Source organism: Homo sapiens, chromosome 6 (assembly GCF_000001405.40).
Source record: "Homo sapiens chromosome 6, GRCh38.p14 Primary Assembly".
NCBI classification, from domain to species: Eukaryota; Metazoa; Chordata; class Mammalia; order Primates; family Hominidae; genus Homo; species Homo sapiens.
Window position 1 is genome coordinate 81,441,877 of NC_000006.12, and position 25,841 is coordinate 81,467,717.

The window sequence follows — 25,841 nt, forward strand, 5'->3', positions numbered from 1 at the left end:
GTCTTTATATAAAGGCTGGAATGTAACAAAAGACCATAGAAAGTTGTGCCTAGGCATTTCCTGGGCCTTAAAGCATGACAAAATAACAAAGGAGTTCTTAACAGGACTCATTTAGGATTAAACAAGTTTTATTAGGGGTCTGAAGAAACTCCCCAGGCCCCCACAAACAAGTTTATTGGAGATCTGAAGGAACTCCCCAAACCTCCATGATTTAGCAGGAGTCAAGATAAGGGTAATCACCCCAGCACCTGGATGCATTTAAATTAAGTAAACTTACTGAGGATCCAGAAGAAGGTCTTCAGGGCTCTGGCCTTAGTTATAGATTAAAAGAAGTTAATCACTTATGTCTTTAGACAAATGCACACTTACACATAGATGTATAACTTAGAAGGTATATGAGCTCTGGAGAACTTTGTAATTTTGAGTTGGTCTGGTGATAATTTCCAGGCCTTTTCCCTGTAACTGGTTACAGAAATAAAAACTGTCTTCCTTCCCAGTTCATCTGCATCTCATTATTGGGCCATAAGAAATAGCAGCCCGACCCTCAGTTTGGTCCGGGAACAGTAGCAGTGGTAGGATAATCCTCTGAGGCCCAAGCAGTCTGCTGTGGTGTTGTCAGTGGCTGCGATAGGCTGTGTGGGCCAGTCCCAATTCTGTGGGTGGCATGTGTGTGTGGGTGTCAGCTGTGGATACACACAGGTTGCATGAATCTGATTTCAGATCTTGGGATGAGTTCTCAGGTGCCAATCGTAGTGGACTTGGCTGGGCCATCCTCAGGGCCCTGGATAGCATGTTCTGCTATTGGGGGGTGCAGAGCCAGGCCAGGTAGACCTGCCTTCAGGATTCCAGGTGGTACCTGCAGTCAGGCACTAGCTGTGATAGGCAGGAGTGAAGTGATCCTCAGGCTTCTGGTGGAAGCAGCAGTGCCTGTGCTGTGGCCCTGCTGCTAGTGCTACTAGGGAGGGCAGGGTTTTCTTAAGTGGGAGCAGCCATGGGCAGGCAGCTATAGGGCCTGCACTTCACTTGCACCTCAGCCCCACAGAATCTTGAATTTTTTCCTCAGGGCATGTAAAAATACATGACTGTCCCTCTGTTGAGCGGGGTGGGGTCACTGCCAATGGCTCCTGCCTCAGCCCCGTTGCAGTAGCTGTGGGTGGAGAATGTTCATGGGGATCCAGGGATGTGGAGATTCAGGACAGGTTGGGACCCAGGGTAGGAGGCAGTTTGATGAAAGCTGGGCTCTTACAATGGTGCTGCGCTGCAGCTGCTCAAGACTCTGGGATTTGTGGGACTCAACCTGAGCTCCCTCTCTGGAGCAATGCCATTGCACTATCTTCAGGCAGCTGCCTATGATAGTCTTAGGGCCTACAAGGGTTGGGGGGATCTCCCCTGGCTAAAATCATGGGAATCTGCAGTGAGAATGTAGATCACTACCCTCTTCTTACATTAGGGATCCTTTCCAGGCTCTCAGCTGATCCTGGTCCAACAAGTTGCCTTACTTCCCTCTCCTTCCTTGTAGGCCTTATATCTTTAAGGTGCAGTTTCTTATGAAACAAAGAGTATTATGAGATTTCTCTAGGATAAAACATGAAGTGTTTGCTCTTTGCTGAGTTAATTGTAAAGGGGAATGCAGAATGCTGGTACCTACTGGATATACCATGTCTCTTTATGTATAAAAGATAAGGGAACAGCTGGACTAGTCTCTCTACCTCAATTTACTTCACAAAAATATGGTTTTCAGCTTTTGAGAAAGCCTATTTTCCTTTAGTACACATTGTCCTGTACAAATTTAAGAATAAGAAGATATTGCCATTTGTACCTTAGAATCAGTTATATCTACACACTGGCTTTAATATATTGAAAAATGTATTTTTTATATTGTGAGCATTCACAGTAAACAGCTGAAGTAAAGAGCTATGGTGACTTCAGAACATGTCGCCTTCTTAAACTTTGTGATTTGATCTTATGCCATCTTGGCAATATTTTCTGCATTATGTTGTTAATTTTTGTGACAATAGGCATATTTCACATTAACATATTTCACGTAAACTGGAATTGGATTAAATGATTAAAACACCATTAACACTGTCATCTACTGACTAGCCAGTTAGCAAGTTACCAGCAACACATTCAGAAGATTAGGTCTAGGAAATCAAATAGCTATTACTAGGCATAACAGAACCAAAGGCAAACATTCACATTTCTTTATATAACCAGGTCATAGGTTGTTTCTGTCAACTGAAATGTTTTTCCTGCTAAGCCCATGGCTATTGTCTTTGCTTCCAGGTCTCATCTTTGTTACCTCCCCTGTAGCACCTTCCTCAACCATACTAGCTAAGTTAGCCTCACATCCCTGTTATTCTCAATCATGGCACCTTTATTGCTTGTTTCTTTTATATTAGTATCACAAGTAGTAATACTAAATATATGTTTGTTTAGTTTTTGTTCATCTGTGTTTCCAACTTGCAAACTTTGTTAATGGAAAAACACTTTCAATTAACAGAGTAGATATCTAGCATGGTAGTATCTGCTTCATAATAGACAAACAATAAATATTTAATAAGTGAGTGGACAAATACATGTGTATATGTTCTTCAAAAAACCTGTAAGAATAGACAATAATCTCTATTTGTGGAGTTTTAATTCATTTTCATTTTTATCTTTATGGATTTCTGCATTTTTTTAGATTTTCTATATAAAAATATATTTATCATAATAAAATTTTCAGGCTTTAAAAATAGGAAAAGCAGATAAATAAAAATGAATACAATTAATAAATTAAAAATAAAATAAAATCAATAAAATATATAAATAAAATAAAAAATACATAAATAAAATTAATCTCCAAAAGAAAAAACAAAATTTAAAGAAATTATAGTATTTTGAAAGCAATTATTATATAGCAGTGATCATAAATTATATATTTCCTGACTAAAAGATTAAATCCATTATTAAGCTGAACCAAGTTTCATAGTAGAGTGATCCCTCTCTGTACATTTTCTGTATTGCCTTTTTTTGGCTCCTAGAAATAAGATAATTCTTCCCAAATAGTCCTTGATATCACTGAAAATTTGACAATTTATTATTAAAGCACAAAAGCTAATACTCTGCTGATGTTGTGTCAAGAAAATCAACACAATGAATAATTCCAGCTCTAAAATGGTATTATATCCTGCTAGTATGTGATAAGGCTAAAGACCTAGAAGAATCTAGGACAAATTGCAACTAAATCCCCACCCAACCACTTTCCTCCACCCATTTCCCATAAAACCTGCCCCAGGAACACTTGTCCATTTTTCTTCAAATCATTTGTCAGATTCCCCCAGTGAACTCCTGAGTATTTGAATACTCAAACATGAGAAAGATTAAGCAAATGTGGTTTTAATATTGGCTTGGCAAATCACATATGAAGAAAAATAGAAAGGGTCATTCTGAAAATTAATCACAGATTATTGGGTAGCAAACAGTACAATGCCACACTTAACTTTAGTTGAGCCAGACAGAGCACAAATATTTGACTTTTTAAATCGACAGTGATACAGAGTCTAGAGACATATGGAAGAAAAATTGCTCAGTTTTCGGTCCTCTTTTTTTTGCCTACTATTGCTGTCAGGGTAGACACTGGTGATTTATTTTAAGCTGAATTTCACTCAATCAGCAAGAAGCCATAAATTAATGTTAAGATAATACACATTATGCTGAGCAAATTACTTTCAAATCAATGAGATCAATGAGTATGTTGTAACTGATATGTCTTAATTATCAATATTTCTGTTCATGTCACTTTCAGTTTTCCATTACATACCACATATCCTATTTCAAACCAAATGCATCTTAAATCAAGCTAAAAATATTTAAACATTTTAGGATAGATGTTCTCCACTGACTTTTATTAATAAGTTACAGGCACTGAAAACCAAAAGAAGCAAGTCCATGTGTACTATGTCTACATGTTTGATATAGTTTATGGCAAAAACTAAATATTTTCTGATTAGGCCATTTTTTTTTATTTTCAAGTTTCTTTATATCCTAAGCCAGCTCTTCCAAGATGTGGAATATTTCCAAAGTTACTATAGGCATGCTCTTCTGTGAAAGTATTTCTTTCCTATAAAATGAGCCAATAGTGATTCTTCAGTCTTTCATGATGAAAGCAGCACTGAGAACCATTCTTTACAACCTGTCTCCTACAAGAGAAGAGAGAAAAGATAAGAGACAAAACTATTAGAGTCCTGTAAACCAAATATTCTTTTATGATGTGTTCTATTCAGCATCAGTTAAGCGAAACTCACACTGAAGACTACCAAGGGGAAAAGAAAGCATTCTTCTTGCCTGGAAATTAAGCTATCTTATGCCAGATATATGAGGAATGTATTCTCTACCAGGAGAAGAACAAACTCAGAAATTCACAAGTCATTATTGTTACCTAACTTTACAATGGATTTCAATTCTTCCTAAGAAGGATGTGTTCTTTGTATCCTCACATATTCAGTCAGATTTATTCCCACTGGGTCTGTAGTAGCCAAATCTTGCCTTTTGAACTTCTAAAATAGTTTCTTATAAGTATTTTTCAACTTCCTTAACTGCAGAATTTCCTTTTCAAATGCTAGAATGTTCCCATTTTAGGATTGCGTGCTACTCTATCTTCACTGATAGTAGTTCAAAATAAAAACTTGTTATTTGTCTAAAGTCTTTGACTAAAGAAGAAGAAATATCGAGAAAAGAGTATTTGCATCTGACATCACCAAATTACTAAAGGCCAACATTTGTATCTGTTAGATAACTCATTTATCTTTCACTTACATATTACTGTAAGCAAAATATATCAACACATGTTTGATCAGGAGATTGAGAAATATTTACTTTACTGGGATAAGTCAGGGTAAATACTCTTTGACTAAAATATTGGCTCAAAAACATGTATCTTGGAATAGTTCCAGATTTTGGAGAAAATTAATTTATCAGAGAATATCCATGCTTTCTCAGGTACAGATTTTCATTAGGAGGAATTTAATATATTCCAAGAGCTTTTGTCCCCTATTAAGAGTTACATGTTAGCATCAGGTTTCATGGGCCCTCCTCAACATACACAAAAAGGCAGTTAGTATCACTTAGTAGTTACCCAATGAGGTTAGAGCTGATTATTCTCTTCCTCAAAGAGGAGATTAAACTCTTTCATAGATAAAAAGCCACAATGACAAAAAAAAATCTATATATGAGCAATGTTACACAGTCTTAGAGCTCTTTACAACAGTAAGCTTTAATGCCAATCCCCTTCAAAAAAAAGGGAGTGGGTTAGATTTCTTACCTGCTCAGTTCACTTTGTTTAATGCTAAATTCCCACCATTTAATCCAAAATAATATAGTTGCAGTCCTTTTTATTTAGTGAAAAACCTTAAATGGTTCCCATTAGAAATTTATATATGTGTATGTATTAACACCTAAACTACAATTTTCCTGTATTGTTTCCAAACTACTTCCTTACTTGTGACATAATTCCTCCTGCTTCCTTTTGGTATGAATAAGAAGACACTGGTAGCAAGGCCCTAGGCCAGTGCCTCATGTTTCTGAATGGACTCAGCCCTGAGCATTGTGGGAGACATAATCTGACAGGGTACCAAATACCTTGGGAAAAGTTGTTAACTATGGACAGGGAACAAGGACTACTTAGGTTTCACACAGGCATCCAGTAAATCATTATTAAAACCCGCTGGTACAAAGAACTTAAAATTTTTAATTTATGTCCTAGTTTGACCTTATTAGTTTATAAATATTGGCATGTCACCTGTCTCCATTCTTCTGTTTTTTCATTTTTCAATTACAAAGACATGTGTTCTGCCTGCGCCCCGTAGACATTCGGCACACCTGGGCCCCTGTTGCAACCTCTGGGCTGTTGTTAACATATAAGGAGATCATGTTCCCAAAAGTATTAGGAAAATAATTAAGTGCTATACCAGTGCAAGTGGGATTTTTTCCCACAAGTCACTGTGCTAGGTGCTATGATAGATACAAGGAATTCACAACCTAGCAAGGAAGATAATGCAGGTATTGAGGGGGTGATACAAAATAATTAGCAGTACATGGGAACCAACCAGTCATAGAGTGCCAGGGAATACCACCTAAATATCAGTCCTAAATGTCATATCAAAACAATGTATTATAAAGCACAAAGAGAAAGATCTTGATTCTTATTATGTTCATACTGTTTGTGATCTACTCTTTCATAAGTTATATATTGTCACTTCTATATTATAATGGCTGAATTCAAGCTTGCAGACAAAGGGTAAAGAACTAGTCTTTCTAGCTAACACCTGCTAGTCAATGGTCCAATTCAGCAGTATTCCATCTCTGTTTGTATAGCAATGTCTATTTGTGTAGTTAATAAAATATTCAACTGCATTTTGACTTACTGTTTTATACAAGTGGTAAAATATATAAAAAGAAACTAAAATTAGGAAGCATTGGGCCAGGCATGGTGGCTCACGCCTGTAATCCCAGCACTTTGGGAGGCCGAAGCGGAAAGATCACGAGGTCAGGAGATTGAGACCATCCTGGCTAACATGGTGAAATCCCGTCTCTACTACAAATACAAAAAAATTAGTTGGGTGTGGTGGTGGGCACCTGTAGTCCCAGCTACTCAGGAGGCTGAGGCAGGAGAATGGTGTGAACCCCAGAGGCAGAGCTTTCAGTGAGCCGAGATCGCGCCACTGCACTCCAGCCTGGGTGACAGAGCGAGACTCCGTCTCAAAATAAATAAATAAATAAATAAAAATAAAAGAAGTATTGGTCTCACATTCAATAAAATTTATGAAAATACATTATCACATGTGCAAAAATTTTAAATTATAGTTTAGACATCTATAAAATAAACTGTCTTAGAAAATTAAGACAATAAACCAGATACTCAACTGTTAAATAAGAGAATAACATGCTTGGAAAATATTATCAAGATCATCATGTACTAATTAACTATATTATAAATTTTATTTATAATATACTTATAATAACCATATAGTTATTATAATATGAAACTATATTATAAATAGTAAAATTTATAATATAGTTGGCACATTGGGAATGAAACATTTAATCCTGTTTTTTGACTTCTAGTACCATTGATTTTTTAACATGTTTTCAATAATGCATTGTGTGTAAAAGTAGGAGAAAACTGATAGAAAAGTGTTGTGACAATTGGCAACAGAAATACATTTATAGATGGGAGGATAAAAGCTAAGTCTCAGAAAAGAACTAGAATTCGAACTTATGAAAATGAGGAGGACATTCTGGGTGGAGAGAGCTACTTAATCAAAAGTTTTAAGGTGGAAAAATACAGGGCATATATGAGGAACAGTCAGTCCCTGTTCCTGACAAGAGAAGGTGATGCTTTCTGGAACAAATCAAAAATAGAAAATTATAGTTAAGAAGTTAGAAATAGCTGCAAAATAGCAAATAAGATTTCAAAAACTCATCCTATCTTTTGTAACCATTCTTTTCGTTCCTGCCTACATATGTATCTTTTCCTGCAGCAAAAGACATTGACCGTCAAAACACATGCTCAGATGTTCACTTTCAGCTTAGAAATATGATACTTAATTTGAGCAGGAGAAATTTAGGGGACTCAAGTCCAAAACACTGGGACCAGCATCAAGTTACTCTGGGTATTAATGCATAAACACTTGCCATTTGTAAAATAAGTAAATTGTGAATCTTAATTTTGGCCTTCTGAACTGGCTCCTGCAAGTTGGGTCTCAATGGTAACATGAACCTGTCTTATTCCATGGTCAGAGTCACTTTTTTGATTACTTTCCTACTATAACCTGACTAGTGCTCCAAACCACTGGAACAGAGTTAGAATAGAGTTGTGTTTTTCCCTTTGTGCAGCTCAGCAATTTAGATCCTGTTACATGAATCACGGTTTTTATAGTACCAACTGCCTTTCTGTACCCAAGGATCTCTGACTATCACAGACTCTTAGATTCCCATAGCTTTTCTTTGCAAATTTGTTGACCCCCAGTTGTTCTCACTTGCTTGGTCATTGTGACCATTGCCTGGTCCTGAATCTACCATATTCTTTCTGTTCTGGCCTTTTTTCTGGGGACGATCACCGTTAATTCAGTCCAGTACTATGTCTTACTGCCCTAAACTGCTACAATTAATAGGGGTCATTTTCAGCCATGAACTAACAGATGATATATGTCTTCCTCCCTTTTTCTAACTTTTTGTATTTTAAAAAAATATAGTGAACACATTGTACCTTTTTTTTGAAGTTTCCTTGATAAACTACTAACCTCTTGCTATTTTTAGGAAAGACACTAAAATTACACTTACCCTTTAAAAAAAGGTTGTTGAGATGTGAACAAATGTATATCATTCAAACAAATGTATATCAATAAAAGAATCAGAAGCTGGGTTTTCAGATCACTGCCACTGGATGGCACATTGCTCTGTCAGTGACAGGACAGTTTCTGCACTTGTGTTTCCGGGGACAGTCCTTACTCAGAGTGCAGAGGTGGACATAATTGATTGCATGTGTTTTACAAGTACATGATCATACTGCAGGGAGGGAGGGTGAGTCAGTTGCTTGACCAAATTACTGAACCTACTCTAGCTGAAGGACAGAGAGTAGGCACTAAGAGCGCAGCAAAGAGAGTAAGACATACTGCCTCCTTCCACAAACATTCAAGAGTTGTGACTGGCAATCCTGGCTGAGGATCAAGGTTAGCTTGGAAGCTTTTAAAAGCAACAGATGCCCAGGCTATAACCCGAGAGTCTTGGAGTAAGGGTAGAAATTGTGACAATAAGTCAGAGTTGAGATTCATTGCTTTATGGTCAAATTGGGGAGTAAGCAAAGATTTATGTAATCAACATTCAAAGACAGGTTAATATGCACACCAGCCTGCAATGTTTGGTTTGAACAAAAACAAAACATGTGGGAGTTTAGGGAATTCTACTGTATAGATTGCCATTTGTTGTTCTTCATATCAGTTCAGAATTATCCAAACATTGTATAAATTAATAAATTCCAAAAAAATAAAATAAAATTTTAAAAACCTCAATTTTTTAAAATTACACATTTCAGAGCCCTACCATGGCCCCACTGCACCACAGTTTTCAAGAAAAGACCCTGGGAAACTGAATTTTCACAAGTGTCCCGAGGATTCTTATCATCAAGGAAGACTGGAAAACACTGATCTGGATACTGAAGATGCGGGACTTTGAATGGTCTGTTATATGGGGCTTGTGTGCAGGTGACAAGCACATCATGACCCATAAAATCGTGAGTGGCATACCTGAGCATGAAGTTCTTCCATCACTTGTACTGCAGTCACTCAGACCCCTCACACTCCGTCGACTATTCCAATCCCATTCCTACTTCAGGGACTTTGCACTTGCTCTTGCCTAGTCAGCAAACTCTTTTCCTAACTCTTCAAGTGATTAAATTCTATTCATCTTTTGCTACATTCTCAAAATAGTCTTCCCAGCTCTGCTCAGTTAAACCAGGTTTCCTGTTAAAGTCTCCTTGCGCTTTTTACTTTTCTTTATAATAATCATTGCTTTCGTGGTTATCATAATCTTGTGATAATGTTTTGGTATCTGTCTCCTGCACTAAACAGTAAGTTCCTTTGTGGTAGGGCATTATTCAGATGTTCACAACAGTATCCCCAGTTTATTGCCACAGCCAGTCTCATTAAAGACCTTATAAGAATGTGTTGAGTATATGAATAAACAAATGCGTACATCAACAAATGAATACATGAATGAATAAAAGTACTCAGTGGACGCATGTAAAGATAGAGCAAGGTAGCAGGGTGAGATTTACTGAAATGATGGAGACGAATATGTGCAGAGGTGAAAAGCCACTCATGGAGTGACAAAGATTGTGCTGGGCCCCAAAGCAAACAGCAAGGAGACTGGCACAGCAGAGAGGAGCAGAAACATGCCAGGTGGGCAGCAGTCTCTGCAGATACCCTGGAGAAGTGAGACAGAATATGTGTGCCTGAACAAGGAGCCAGCCAGCTTGAATTAAGCAGAGAGAACAATCAGGCTATGATGAAAGTGGAGGACACTTAGATAACGAGTGACTCATATCAGTTTTGATTTGACGTAAGCAGAAACTCAGAGATCCTGCAGGGTTCAGAGAGGGAGAGAGATGATCAAAACAGTGCTTACAGAGGATGACTCATACCCTTTGTGTAGAACTGAATGAAGGGACAGGACTAAGATATGTGAAACCAGCTAAGTGGCTATAGCCATCAAGTTGCAGTGCAATTGGGAATCAAAATGTGTGCTCTGTTTTATTTGGATACATCCTGCCTAGTGTCATGAGTTTGACGCACCGGGTAGAAACATGATAATAGTTGTAGACTAGAGGAAGAGCAGGGGTCTAATGAAAGAATCAGTTAGATTTGGACTGACTTTCATAGAGGAAGAGGGAAGTGAATTAATGAAGATATTAATTTGTACACCCAAAAGTCTGCATGTTGCGGAACTACATGAAGAATTACAAACTCAGAGAAGTCTGAGAGTGGGAGAAAATAATGAATTTTGTTCTTAGCATGAAGTCACAGTATGACATTTAAGGAAGCTTATCCTCTGTTCCATGAGAATTACAGGACATTAAAAGGGCTGAGAATAAGAAAACTTCAGTTACCCAATGACTACAACCTCTGAAACGTGAAGAGATACCCACAGCTATGGGGTGCCAGAGGGGATAGGAATGAATCTCCTAACTGGTCTCCCTACTCCTAATCTCCTGCCTTTCCATTTCATATTCATCTAGCAGGCAAAGTGCTCTTTTGTCATTCAGATATTAACTATGTCTGTCTCATGCCTAAAATCTTTAAGCAATTCCTTACAACATTTTGGATGAAGGGCCGGTAGATTCACTAGTACAAAAGGTCTTTGAGAATGTATCTCCTGTACTTCTCTTCTTCGTCTCTCTCGATGGGCAACTTGTACTTTTCACTCCAGTCACACCAGTAATTTTTTTATTTCCCTGAATGAGACATGTTCTTTTATGCCCTTCTACCTTTGTAAGTGGTGTTCCTTCTAGCTGTCCTATCTTTATCTGCCTTTTGTTGCCTGGTGACTTTTATACTGTCTTCAAAACTTCAATCATCATCCCCTCTACAAAGTCTTCCCTGGATTCCCTCTGCATCTGCCTTATGTGATCCAACAGCTTACTCTAGCCTGTCCCCAGCAGAGAACCCAAATTTGTGTGCTTGATTTTTTTTTCATTCTAACTAAAATATTATCTTCTTGTAGGCAAGGGTGGAATCTGGCACACTTCTATTTTCTATGCTTAGTACAATGCCTGACACATTGTGGAAACTGATATACTCTTTGAAGAAGGAAAGAAGGAAGGGAAAGAGAAAGGAACGGAAAGTAAAGAAGTTGAAAGGAAGAGAGCAAGAGATGAAGGAATGAAACAAGGTAGAGAGAATGGAAGGGATAGCTTCCTCTCCCTCCAAAAAACAGTTCTTCCAAAATACTGGGAAAAACGAAGGAGAGAGATAACAAACCCAAGCCAACTGGTATAACCCAAATTGAAGAAGATTTAGTGAATTAAATCAGTTGGGCATCTCACAAACAGCATAAAATATTTTTTGTAATTCCTCATCATTTCAATAATTACGTGTGGAGCCCTGCATTGATGCCAGGTATTGTGCTGGTGAAGGGAGGTGGTACAAAAAAGGACACATTGAGACACATTGAGACACATCGAGGACACATTGAGACAAACATTGCATCAATGCCTGACCAAGACACAATGCATTACAGAGGAGAGAGCAGCCAAACATACATTAGGAGTGCAGTTTATGGAAGTTTCCTAAAGGATGTGACTCAAAAATGAGTAGGAATGTGCTAGGTGTGAAAAGAGGGATAGATCATTCCAGAGAAAGAACCAAGTATCTTTGGGCAATAGCAGACAGTTTTGAATGACTGAACTCAACCAAATACTTTTTATTGTTATTTTTCATGGTTTGGCAGTAGAAAGAGATTAACAGATTAAGATTAATTTTACCTCCTTCCTCACATATCCTCAGACATGTCAGTTCTGCCACCTTCTCCACCTTTTGCAATGACACCTGCTGCCCTACTCTATGTTTTCCCCACATTGTGGTCATCCATTGGGTTGAGCAATTCTACCTCTTAATTATTCCTGATTCTCCTCACTGCAGTAAAGGCCTTGCACTTAATTATTCTTCTACCTCTTGAAGACAGTTCATAACTACTATGAACTTAATTACTTAATTACTCTGCTACCTCTAGAAGACAGTTCAATCTACTCCTATTGGAACATGTATGAGAAATGTGGCAGTAGTCTCACTATTCTTTAAACCAAGCTTGTCCAACCCACAGCCAGTGGGCTGCATGTGGCCCAGAATGCCTTTGAATGTGACCCAACACAAATTTGTAAACATTCTTCATTTTTTTCCCACAATGTCTTTTTGCAATCTTTTTTTTTTTTTTTTTTTTTTTGGCTTATCAGCTATCGTTAGTGTTAGTGTATTTTATGTGTGGCCCAAGACAATTGTTCTTCCAATGTGGGTGAGGGAAGCCAAAAGATTGGACACCACTGCTTTAAACCCTTCTTGTACACTGAACCTGAGGAGCATTCTGGTAAATGTTTTTTTCTGTTATGTTGTTACATAATTCATCATAATTTCTCATCGGTACTAAAGGACTCTTCTGATCATTCTAAAAAGAAAAATGCATGCCAATTTAACTGCTGGGACAACCTGGTCAGATGCTATTAATATTTTTCTACCTTTTACCATCTAAATGGGATGTTTGGAAAGGGAGAAAATAATGCTGTGGCACATCCCTAGAAATGTTACCTCTTATGACCCTGAGCTTCTCTTGGGCACACTGAGTCTTGGGCAGGTCAATGGTCAGAAACAGCCTCTGGCTGCTCATGTTGGAAGGCCCTAGAGACCATTTTGTGGGGGACTGCATGGACCTAACATTGGCTGAGCAACTAAAATGCACCAAGCTCTGTGCCCAATATCCTTATTATTATACTTATTCCCGTAGCAGATACAAACGGTTTTATCTCTTTAGAAAAGTGGCCCTCCAACTAGTCACATATTCTTACACCGTTCACATTTTTCATCTTGTCTCTCTCAGATTAGTCATATAATTATGAGCTGCTTATGTGGCAACACAAAATTGCCAATTGTTACTCCTACCTTAAAGTAGCATTTTAGTCTCTTCTTTTCAGAAGCCATTTATTCAGACATACTAACTTTGTGCTTGAGAATAATTGCTTTAGCAATCTAACTACTCCTGTTTACTTCTTTGCCCTTTTCTTTTATTATGGAAGATGTGTATGAAGAAAAAAAAGAAGTGGTAGATTACAACATTTCTATTTACTAGAGTGATTTTTTTCATCTGACAATTCCAGAAGCCTTTCTTTAATAACAATGAGGGTTTGACACACATGGTGCTGCAAGTTAAATGCTCACACATGGACATGCTTATTTCATTCTCATAACAACCTTGTAAGTTTGGTGCTGTTAATACCTTCATAACACAGATGAGAAAATCCAAGCTTCATATAGGCAAAGTGATTTGTCCCCAAATCACAAAATTAACCAATGAATGGTGTCAAGATTTGAACCTGGAAAGTCTGTCTCCAATCTTTGTAAGTAGCACATTGTACTGTCTTCCTCTCGTTACCATATATTTCCTATTCTGTTTCTCACTAAAACACTTACTACCTAGCACACAATGTGGCCACAAACAGCACAGGAGACTGCTACTAGGACAGAAAGACTTGAATTATTAAGTCATTCAGAGTCACTTGAAGTCACAGCCCAGCTATACAGCCTCCCTATTACCCACTGTGTAGAGATCATGCTCTGTAGCCAAAGCATAAGTAAATCTGCCTCATGGGGCCCTTTTGGTCCTTTGGCAACCAAATCCCCTTCTAGGTCCAAGAAAGGCAGGATGTACACATATCTCTGTCCCTCTTAGATTTGATGCTCTCTTTTCATTGCACACTCTGGACTAGCCCTGTTCATGACTGGGTTTTTAGGTGCTTTTTCCTGGCTTGATTAAAGCGTGCTTCTGGCTTAATTCCAGGGCTGCATTCTGAGATTCTGCTTTGCCCTCATATTTTACACTAGATCTGTAGCTTTTCTCATAGCAGCCATTGCAGCAGGGATTGTTCTGAATAACACTTCCAGATTAGGTCTGTAGCTCATTTGTCTGTAAGATTGGTTCCATTTCTAAACATCTGTAAGACCATAACAGACAATAATCTAAGCTGATATGGTTATATTTTGATATCATAGTGGAGCTAACCAAGAATTTTTATTATCCTACACTAATGCTATTTTATCCTTAATAATTTTTCAATATTAAAAGTTAAAAATAACATTTTAACACCTCAACTTCAGACAAATATGAGAATAGGTTCAAAAATATTAGATTGTAATAATACATGGTTTAGATTGCAGTAATACAAATTATAATTAGGGTAAAATTGGCTACTATTGGTACAACAAGCAACAAGATAATTTATTATGTATATGTAATATTAATAACCCAAATTCAAAATATTAGTTTTTCTGATCTGTACATTTGTCTAGTTTTTAACACCAAAACTTCCACATTCCACTCTCTAGGCAGTGAATTACAGGGTCGAATAGTTATTCCATCTCTACGAAAAATCCCCTAAACCTTAGGAAACTCAAAATTCCTAGCATGTTTCATTTGTTGGAGGAAGTTTTCATTCATAGATTGCTTTACTGTGGCAAGGCTCCATGAAGGAAAATACACTGTATTTCATAATTGGGAATGCAAGTTAACTCCATCCTCTCTAAGTGTTCACTGTATGAGTGTGGCCTTGTCTGCTCCCAGTGATTTAGGCTCCCATCCAGCCATCTATAGACAATGGATTCTAAATGAACTCCATTAATAACCAACCCTTAATAGTAGCTACCATCCTAATTATCAGTTAACACCTTAAAGGAATACCATAGGAGAACTCCTGTAAAGCTTGTTTACAACTCCTATGACTCCAAAAGAAGGAGCTGCCATTATCAAAAGCAGCAGAAAATCAAAGACTAATTCACCTACTTTATAAACTTGCCTGTGGCTTCCCTATCTGTGGAGCTCCATGTCATCTCCAGCATGAATGACTTACATTTCCAACCACCTGACTTTACATAAAGAAGCAGAGAATGGCATCAGACTTATGCCATCTGGTATTATTGTTCCTTTTTTTGTGAAGACTAAGAATAAAATTAAAATGTAGGGAGGAAAACAATAAAAATCGTAGTTGGGGGAAAATGAAAAACACATTTTGATGTTTATTCCACTGGTCTCACGAGGCTAACTTTGTAACAAACAAAGGGATGCAGTAGATTAAACACTAGCATTAAAATAAAGAAATAGAGAAAGGAATCAAGTATTTAGACATGGAAATATACAGATCTTCAACTTTAGTTTGTACAGCTGTTTGCTTTTAAAGCATAGAACTGTTCACTAAAATAAAGTTATGAACCAAAATTGCCTTAGAAACCCATGAAATTCTTCTTTTAAAATGGCTCCGTTTTCTTAGTCAAGGCTAAAATTATTCTGATCACAACTGTTTGTCTTGGATAATATTGGTTCAGTTGGATTATCTAATTATTTTTGCCATCTCACAGAATTTATTTTGTAATTTTATCACAATTTAGAAGAATTTTTTAATGCCCATAGTATTGCTTATAAAGATAAAGGTCAAGAACATTTTTACAATTGCTCAAAACAAAGATTATCTTTTCTTGGAAAGAGCTATGGATTCTAATCCTGGCAAATCTACAGAAAATTTCTGGTAATCCAAGAGGATCCTTTGACCTTTCCCTATCTTCCTAAAATGTTGTTAATAAACAAAGAAGACAGGTTGGCACTTGACCTTCCTATGGTCTGAATGTGTGTGTTCCCTCAAAATTCATATGTTGAAATCCTAATTCCCAAGGTGATGGAATTAGAAGGTGGGGCCTTTGGGGGTGATTAAATCATGAGGGCAGAGCCCTCAAGAGTGGGATTACTGCCCTTATAAAAGAGGCTCGAAGGAGCTTGTTCTCCTCTTTGGTCATGTGAGGATACAATGATAAGATGTCTTGTTTGAAGCAGAAAGTGAAGTCTCACCAAACACCAATTTTGCCTGTGCCTTGATCTTGGACTTCCCAGGCTCCAGAGCTATAAAAAATAAATGTCTGTTGTTTATAAGCCACCAAGTTTATGGTATTTTGTTATAACAGCTGAAATGGACTAAAACCTATGAAAGAACAAATAACACATTTAAAAGAATAAAACCTGAACAACACAGTACTCAATTAAGTTCCATGGGGTTTTGTAGAACCTGATAGAAATTTAAAGAGAGGGCTTCAGAAAGAAGGTAAAAATGACATTTCTCTGCACACTTCTAAACAATTATTTGTTTACTTATCATTTATTTATAATGAAGAAGAAGGATAATACCTTCTTCTCAACAGTTTTAGAGAACAAAATAAAACACCTTGTGAGGCTGGGTTGACAAAGTCTCAGATTAGGGCAAAAAAAAACAGTGTCAAAGTAGTTAATTGCATTCCTTGCTGATTTTAAAGAGAATCAGAGTGGTTTATGAAGGCCCTTTAGGAAGTGAAAGTAAAACTCTTCATTTGATTTAACACTGGTGTATATATATATGTGTGTGTGTGTACATATATATATATATAAAACTTTTGCAAAGATTGGCCCAAATCAAAAAGTTATTTGAAAACAAGGACTTAAAAAAAAAAAAGTGGAGGCCAGGCGTGGTGGCTCACGCCTGTAATCCTGGCACTTTGGGAGGCTGAGGCGGGAAGATCATGAGGTCAGGAGATCGAGACCATCCTGGCTAACACAGTGAAACCCCGTCTCTACTAAAAATACAAAAAATTAGCTGGGCGTGGTGGCGGGTGCCTGTAGTCCCAGCTACTCGGGAGGCTGAGGCAGGAGAATGGTGTGAACCCCGGAGGCGGAGCTTGCAGTAAGCAGAGATCACGCCACTGCACTCCAGCCTGGGAGACAGAGCGAGACTCCGTCTCAAAAAAAAAAAAAAAAGTGGAAAATATTATTGTTGTTTTTATCATTGACCACAGACCTCTGGGGGGTGGAACAGAAGAATATTCTGCATTAAAATCTTATTAGTGATTTATAAGGCTCATCCTTGTGAAGAAAGTACATACATCCAATCTACATTAGGGGCTCTTTAATTAGTAATAATTTTTGAATTTCCTTGCAAGTTTTTAAAAGGTTCAATTAGTTACTTGAAAAAAGACTAAATATAGCATTTCATGGATCTAGAACCTAAAATAAAGGGAGGTGGAAGGTAAGATACTCATTTTTATGATAATCCAAGAAGAAATGTATACTATCAACATAGTTTGTTAATAAAGATATCCTAAATGTATGAAACTATGGAAAAGAGGAAGGTCACAGGTTGAATATATATTTTGTTATTTGAAAAAAAAAAGTCAACAAATGCTATTCAAGCATGAGATTAGTTTGTGGATTACAGTTTGCAATTGAGTAATTAAGTAAATAAAATAAGGTATTGATAATTGTGAGTAAAATTAAACGATATCATATTGATAATAGTATTGAGATTAATACATTAAATTCTTCTCAATCTTGCTATAGCTAAAAAGCAAACATATTTTTCTATTAAAAGGAACATGACAACACTTTAAGTATTTTGCACAGCCTTAATGTGAGCAGAGGCCAAAGAAAACATAAATTGAGGGAATTGCCAACACCGAAGTTTCAAATCCTATTAAAAAGAAAACAATGGTGTTGAAAATTTCATGGCTTGAGACACAATGATGCATCCAATTGCTTTATTTCATAATGTGTAATTAAATTGGAATTACCAAGATATATTTTGGCTTCCAAATAATCTGATAAATACTAAAGACCTTGAAATGTCAATCATTTCAAGTAAAATTAGTTATGTAGAAGTTATTTCCAGAAAAAAGACAACATTCATGCGATTGTATTTCTTACACTCAACCTACTTCGGAAAAGCTGCCTTAAATGGCAACAGTCCCTTCAACCTGATTGCCTTTCACTTATAAAACAAAGCACATATGCAATCATTTGATTGTTTGGGCTTTTAAACTAGGCCTTGAGTCCTTTGGAATATGATAGCTTTATGGGAAATTCAGTTAAAGTAATTCCTTCAATCTCCAAACACTCACCAGATAAACCACATTCCCTCCCTTCACTTCCTTTCTGTGCAGCTCCACAAATTTTGTTCTGATGGCATTGAATGTTACAGATTTTAGCAGCTTGACAAGAAAGAATCATTTGTCATCTATTTTCTTCACTTTGTTCATCTACAACAATGATTATCAACCTTGGCTGATCATTAGAATCACCTGGGGAGCTTTTTAAAAAGTTTCCCTTTCTCAAAAGATTGTGATTTAAAAGGTCTGAATGTGAGCCCAAACCTCAGTGTGTTTTTTTTTTTAACTTTCCAGGTAATTTTAATGTATAAACAAAATTGAGAAATACTTGTTTACAAAGAGCTAGAATGTAAAGCTGAAGTAGGACTAGAAGTGTGGCTGGGAGTGGCTTCCTGACAACTAATCAGGAAACTGAGAGTCCCCTTGGCGAGCCAATCATGCTTGCCTGAACGTAATAGATTGTAAGATGGATCTCCAACTTGAATATGCACAGGAATCACTGGGCCATCTTATTAAAATATAGATTCTGATTCAGTGGGTCTGCACTGGGCCTGAGATTCTTTATCACAAACTATTTCTAAAATTTCATTTCAAAAGTTTTTGGGGAACAGGTGGTTTTTGGTTACATAGATAAGTTCATTAGTGGTGATATCTGAGATTTAGGTGCACATGTCACCTGAGCAGTGTACACTGTAACCAATGTGTACCCTTTTATCTCTCATCCCCTCATTCCACCCTGCCCTGCAAGTCCCCAAAGTCCATTATATCATTCTTATGATTTGCATCCTCATTAACTGAGCTCCCATTTATAAGTAAGAGTATACAGTATTTGGTTTTTAATTCCTAAGTTACTTCACTTAGAATAATAGTCTTCAACTCCATGCACGGTGTTGCAAATGCTGTGATTTCATTCCTTTTTATGGTTGAGTAGTATTCCATGGTATACATATATTATATATATATCACAAATTCCTTATTCACTCATCGGTTGATAGGCATTTAGGTTGATTCTATAATTTTTTAATTGTGAACTGTGCTGCTACAAACATGAGTGTGCAAGTGTCTTTCTTGTATAACTTTTTTTCCTTTAGGTAGTTACCCAGTAGTGGGATTGCTGATCAAATGGTAGTTCTTTTAGTTCTTTAAGGAATCTCCACACTGTTATCCATAGTGGTTATACTAGTTTACATTCCCACCAGCTGTATAAAAGTGTTTCCGTTTCACTACATCCATGCCAATATCTTTTTTAAAAGAATTTTTTAATTGTGGCCATTCTTGTAGGAATAAGCTGGTATTGCATTGTGGCTTTAATTTGCATTTCCCTGATAATTAGTGATGTTAGGCATTTTTTTTCATACGTTTGTTGGCCATTTGTACATCTTTTAAGAGCTGTCTATTCACATCCTTTGCCCACTTTTTGATGGAATTATTTGTTTTCTTTTTTGCTGATTTGTTTGAGTTCCTTGTAGATTCTGGATATTAGTCCTTTTTCAGATGCATACTTTGTGAATATTTACTCCCAATCTGTGGGTTGTCTGTTTACTTTGATGATTATTTCTTTTGCTGTGCTTAAGCTTTTTAGTTTCATTAGGTCCATCTCTTCATCATTGTTTTTGTTGCATTTGCTTCTAGTTTCTTGGTTACGAATTATTTGCCTAAGATAATGATTAGAAGAGGTTTTCCAATGTTATCTTCTACAGTTTGGATGGTTTCAGGTCATAGATTTAAGTCTTTGATCCACCTTGAGTTGATTTTTGTACAAGGTGAGAGATGCAAATCCAGTTTCATTCTTCTACATGTAGCTTGTCAATTATTAAAACACCATTTGTTGAATAGGGTGTCCTTTCCTCACTTTATATTTTTGTATGCTTTGTGAAAGATCAGTTGGCTATAAGTATTTGGCTCTATATATGGTTTCTCTATTCTGTTCCATTGGATTACATGCTTATTTTTATTTCAGTACCATGCTGTTTTGGTAACTATAGCCTTGTAGTATAGTTTGAAGTCATGTAATGTGATGCCTCCATATTTGTTCTTTTTGCTTAGTATTGCTTTGGCTATGTAGGCTCTATTTTGGTTCTGTATGAATTTTTTTATTTTTTTTCTGTTTTTGCGAAGAATGATGATGGTATTTTGGTGAGGACTGCATTGAATCTGTATATTGCTTTTGGCAGTATGGTCATTTTCACAATATTGATTCTACCCATCCATGAACATGGGATGGGATACAGCAAAAGTGGTGCTAAGAGGAAAGTTCATAGCTTTAAATGCCTACATCAAAAAGTCTGAAAGAGCACAAATAGACATCTTAGGTCACACCTCAAGGAACTGGAGAAACAAGAACAAACCAAACCCAAACCCAGCAGAAAAGAAGAAATAACAAAGATCAGAGCAGAACTAAATGAAATGGAAACAAACAAAAAAAAAGATAAATGAAACAAAAAGTGCGTTGTTTGAAAAGATAAAGAAGATTGATAGACCATTAGTGAGATTAACCAAGAAAAGAAGAGAGAAGATCCAAATAAACTCAATTAAAAATGAAACAAGAGATATTATAACCAATACCACAGAAATACAAAAGATCATTCAAGGCTACTATGAACATCTTTATACACACAAACTAGAAAATCTAGAGGAGTTGGATAAATTTTTGGTAATATATAACCTTATAGATTAAATCAGGAAAAATTGGAAACTCTTTACTGGCTAATAACAAGTAGCAAGATTGAAATAATAATAAAAAAATTGCCAACAAAAAAAGTCCAGGACCAGATGGATTCACAGCTGAATTCTATCAGACATTTAAAGAAGAATTGGTATACTTCCTACTGAAATTATTCCAAAAGATAGAGAAAGGAAATCCTCTCTAAATCATTCTATGAAGCCAGTATCACCCTAATACCAAAACCAGGAAAGGACATAACAAAAAAAGAAAACTACAGACCAATATCCCTGATGACCATAGATACAAAAATCCTCAACAAAGTACTAGCTAACCAAATCCAACAGCATATCCAAAAGATAATACATCATTATCAAGTGAGTTTCATACCAGGAATATAGGGATGGTTTAACATACACAAATTAATAAATGTGATACATCATATAAACAGAATTAAAAACAAAAATTGCATGATCATCTCAACAGATGCAGAAAAAGCATTTCATAAAATCCAGCACCCATTTACGATAACCCTCAGAAAAATTGGCATAGAAGGGACATACCTCAAAGTAATAAAAGCCATCTAAGACAAACCCAGAGCCAACATCAAACTGAACTGGAAAAAGGTGAAAGCATTCCCCCTGATAATTGGAACAAGCCAAGGATGTCCACTTTCACCACTTCTATTCAACACAGTACTAGAAGTCCTAGCCAGAGCAATCAGAGAGAAGCAAAAAATACAGGGCATGCAAATCAGAAAGGAGAAAGTTAAACTGTTGCTTCTAGCCAATATGATCATATACCTAGAAAACCCTAAAGACTCATCCAGGAAGCTCCCAGATCTGATAAATGAATTCAGTAAAGTTTCAGCATACAAAATAGTGTACACAAATTAGTAGCACTGTTATATACCAACAATGACCGAGCTGAGAATCAAATTAAGAATTCAATCCCTTTTACAAAAGCTACAAAAAAATAAAATAAAATACTTAGGAATATATTTAGCCAAGGAGGTGAAAAATCTCTGCAAGTAAAACTATAAAACACTGGTGAAAGAAATCATAGAGTCCATATTCCTTACTGGCTTCCAAGGAATGCTGTAGCTATTTTCTACAGACCATACTTTCAGTAGCAAATACATAAATATGGTCTCATGATTAAAATGTGGTCAGGTTTCTTTCAAAAGTTATATAAAAGGTAATACTGATATAGAGGTATTCAACACACAGTCATTTATAATAGTGAAAACCTAGAAATATTCTAAATGCCTAACAACAGAGCTAATTTGAAGGGATAATATTTGATATAACAGTATATTTTCAGAGTTTTAAATTTCATGGAAAAATCACTAAAATATACAAAGAAAAACTATGTTATGAAATTATACACAAACTATACAGGAATACCCCAATTACATTAAGATGGATAAAAATAGACTAAATGTGATGCAGAATGTTTACTGTGATTATGACAGATTTTGTGATTTTGAGCAAATTTAATTTCTTTATAGATTTTTGTATTTTTTATTTTATATATTTAATACTTTTGCCTTTATAATAAGATAAAATTTACTAAGCAAAATAATGTGTTGTATCTGATCACATATGCCTTTCTAATATTTGTGTCAGGGCACACTACAAGATTTAATCCCCATTAGTTTAAACTTGAAATTCCTTAGTTTATCAAAAAAAATTTTAATAAAGATTTATATGTGTATTTCCCACATCTTATGATGAATTTCATGTCCTCATTGCTCCTTATGTATATGCAGAGTAGTACCTTCTTTAATTTGTCCAAAAAGCAACATAGCTCTGTCTCTCTCTCTATATATATATATATATGTATACATATGTATATATAAAATACATATCACACACATATGTATATATAAAATCATGTATAATGATGAAGCTGTACTTATCCTAGAGATGCAGGTTGGTTTAGTATTTTTAAAAACATAATAAAATGATGTGATTCTCCATGAGATAGGGTCTAACAAGTCAAATTCCCTAACACCATGACAAATTACTTGTAATTTTTAAGTAAAAGCCTTCACTCCTCCCCTCCACTAATCCGTGTTAAAATCGCCTCAAAATCCTTCTCCTTATCCACTAAGGATTCATTCAATAAAATAGAACACATGTTCCCTAGGAAATTAAACTTATAGAGAATAAACTGACAACGTCCACTTTGAGTCTTAAATCCATGTGAAAGTTGTACGCAAAAATATGTGAATGGATGAGTTGTCAGCTGGCTCATTAGAAAACGGATCTTTCTAAAGACATTTGGAATGGAACGAAGGATTTATCCTCTCAAGAGTGTGCTACCAGGTGTGGTAAAGATCTATCCAAGGCAAAGAACAACTTTAATTAAGATAAATCCTTTCTAGAGCAGAAAACACTAGGGATCTCCCTGTTGGGATACCAAAAACTTCAACCAAACTTGTTTTTTTGTGTGTATTTGTCTGGAGAACTGCTTAGCTCAATCATACTCAGTCTTTTGACACCACCAAAGAATTTTAGTCTGATGCTTTTACTCTGATGCCCACAAGTACTCCATCCAATGCTGTGACAAACTAATACTCAATCCTGACTACGTATAAAAATTACCTGCTGAACTTTAAAAAAATATTTGATGTTTGGCACTATTTAGAAAAACTGAATTAAGTCTCTGAACATGGATTCAGGACATAGTCATTTTTATAAATAGTGGCCAGAGAATTCAAACCTGTAGCGAGGGTTGAATTTCACTGTAATAACCCACCAACTTGGCTCACCATTGCCTTGAACAAATTCGAGCACCTTAAGGTACTGACATTTTAATAATGATCAAAAATTTAAGCCAAGTTAATAGGATTTCAGGCACCAGTTATAGCCCAAAGAGAAAGAAGGGGAATAGAAGGAAGGGTAAAACATAATTTTGAAAAAAGTAGTAACTCCTGCCTATAAACATAGGCAAAATACATGGTCCTCTTCTTATCTATTTATAATGGTGATTCTCTCTTATTTTAGAGTTCTAGAACTGTAAAATCCATTTGGTCCAAACTCAATAAGTATATGACTTTCTATTCTATCTGAATTTTTCAGACAGACTGGGACTATGCTATGCTGACCAGAAAGTCTAAGACTACAGTTAGAGGGGTATATGTTTGTGACATACATTGTCCCAAATTTCCAAGAAAAAGTATCAAGTTGACAGCATAAGCATTTTAATCCTGTCAGGTATTTTCCCCTGTTCTGTCAAATCTAACCCAGATGCCCTACAACCTTCAATTTTCCACCCACAGACAATCATCTTTTTAGCTTGCCCTCTGGTGGCCACTATTTCCTTCCCAAAGCTACACTTTTTTTTCCCCTCCATTCAACTTCATTTCACTAGAGGATTTACCAATAAAATTCAAGATTTCCAGTTAAATTTGATTTTCAGATAAAGAACAAATAATTTTGGACATACTTTCATTTAAACATTATTTATTGCTTATCTGATATTCAAATTTAATATGGGCATCTTGTTTTGTTTTTGTTTTTGTTTTGTGTTGTGCTGCTGAATCTGGCAATCATATAGCAAATATATGCTGAAATGCAGTGAAACATTTGAAAAATTTGCTTGGCATTGGAACTATGGCAGTATTATCAGACCTCAAATTAAATTTACAATCAAACCAAGAAAAGAAGACTCCCAATTTTTAAATTTTTAATTATGAGGGAAAAATGGATAATCAAGCAATCTTGATGAAAATCTCTCTTAGCATTTAGAAGATCAATTAAAGAAAAAAATGGATTTGCAAACATTATTATCAATATGACTTTTTTATTCAATGTTCTTGTAAATTACTTTTTCGTTCAGTAAAAATTTTGTGGATTAAATGCAAAAGTTACAGGTTAATCAGTGATATTTACTTTTAAAGTTAAAATACAGGGAAAAGAAGACTATAAAAATGACATTTTATTTTACATCACCTTGTTGTCTACATGGACATAGAATTTTCAGAAGTTTTATCTGTAGTCATTTTGAGCCCACAGGTTTTAATTATTTTATTAAATAACTTACCTAATAATTAGGAGTTTAGGCCGTTAGCTTTTTTCAGTTTTACTATTTTTTTCTATAATTTCAGGTCTGTCTTTTAGTGAGAGATAGGAATTCCTAATAAGATGTTAAGTTACATGATGGTGTAAAGTTGTCATTCACTTCCTCCATCTCCAGCCCCCATAGTACTGGAAACCTCCTGCCTACCCAAGAAGTACTATAGTGGATTGCATAGAAGGTGTGGGACTTTTAAAAATGGTAAAGAGAAATTTCAACATTTCTTTATAATTAGATAAAAAGTGAGAGACATCATGCTAAGATTAGTCAGTCTTGGGCACCCAGTGAGCTAGGCAAAGACACACTTGTCATCTAAAACCAAAACCCCTAGAAGACAAGCATGTATAGTAAGATAGTTGTACAAAAATATTTATAGCAATGCTGTAACTGGAGAATAAACAGAACAAACCAAAACTGCAAATGCTAATAATCATTATCAGTATGATATATAAATAATTGTCATATAGTCATATACTGAAATACTATAAAACAATTAAAATGTACCACTGTGGCAAAGAGTGATAAGCAAGGAGGATATGCATGTGTAGTGGAAAGCAGTATATGAAAAATATCTGTACCTTCCTCAACTTTGCCATAAATCTAAAACTGCTCTAAATCATAAAGTGTATTAAACAGAAATAAATAGTAATAAATGAATGTTTATACACATAATAACACAGGCATAATATTGACTAAAGATAAGCAAGACACATAGCATAAGATATTGTTCACCTTCACAAATAATTTAGTAAAACTACATGGAGACAAGGAATGAAAAATACAAAATCCAGATGGCAACTACTTCTTAGGAAAAAAAAACAAACAACAAGACGTAACTGTAGAAGGAAACACATCAAGTTTTAATTTAGTGGTAATAGTCTCTTTATTAATGTGGG

At 35.8% G+C, this 25,841-nt stretch overlaps 1 long non-coding RNA gene across 1 annotated transcript in view, besides 1 other annotated feature; it reads right to left on the reverse strand.

The window, feature by feature from the left end:
- Window positions 1-3,365: 3,365 nt before the first annotated feature.
- The window catches only part of LOC105377871 (uncharacterized), a 105,003-nt gene continuing 82,527 nt past the window's right edge, over window positions 3,366-25,841 (reverse strand). The window contains exon 5 of the long non-coding RNA XR_007059658.1: window positions 3,366-4,184. This is a non-coding gene — a long non-coding RNA (uncharacterized LOC105377871). The remainder of the gene's footprint in view (window positions 4,185-25,841) is intronic.
- Window positions 9,489-10,688: an enhancer, noted in NCBI's record as "P300/CBP strongly-dependent group 1 enhancer chr6:82161082-82162281 (GRCh37/hg19 assembly coordinates)". NCBI's record gives its function as "activates an origin of replication core promoter dependent on BRD2, BRD4, P300/CBP, MED14 and CDK7 cofactors, with strong dependence on P300/CBP, by STARR-seq in HCT116 cells {active_cell/tissue: HCT116}" and the evidence as "EXISTENCE:reporter gene assay evidence [ECO:0000049][PMID:35650434]".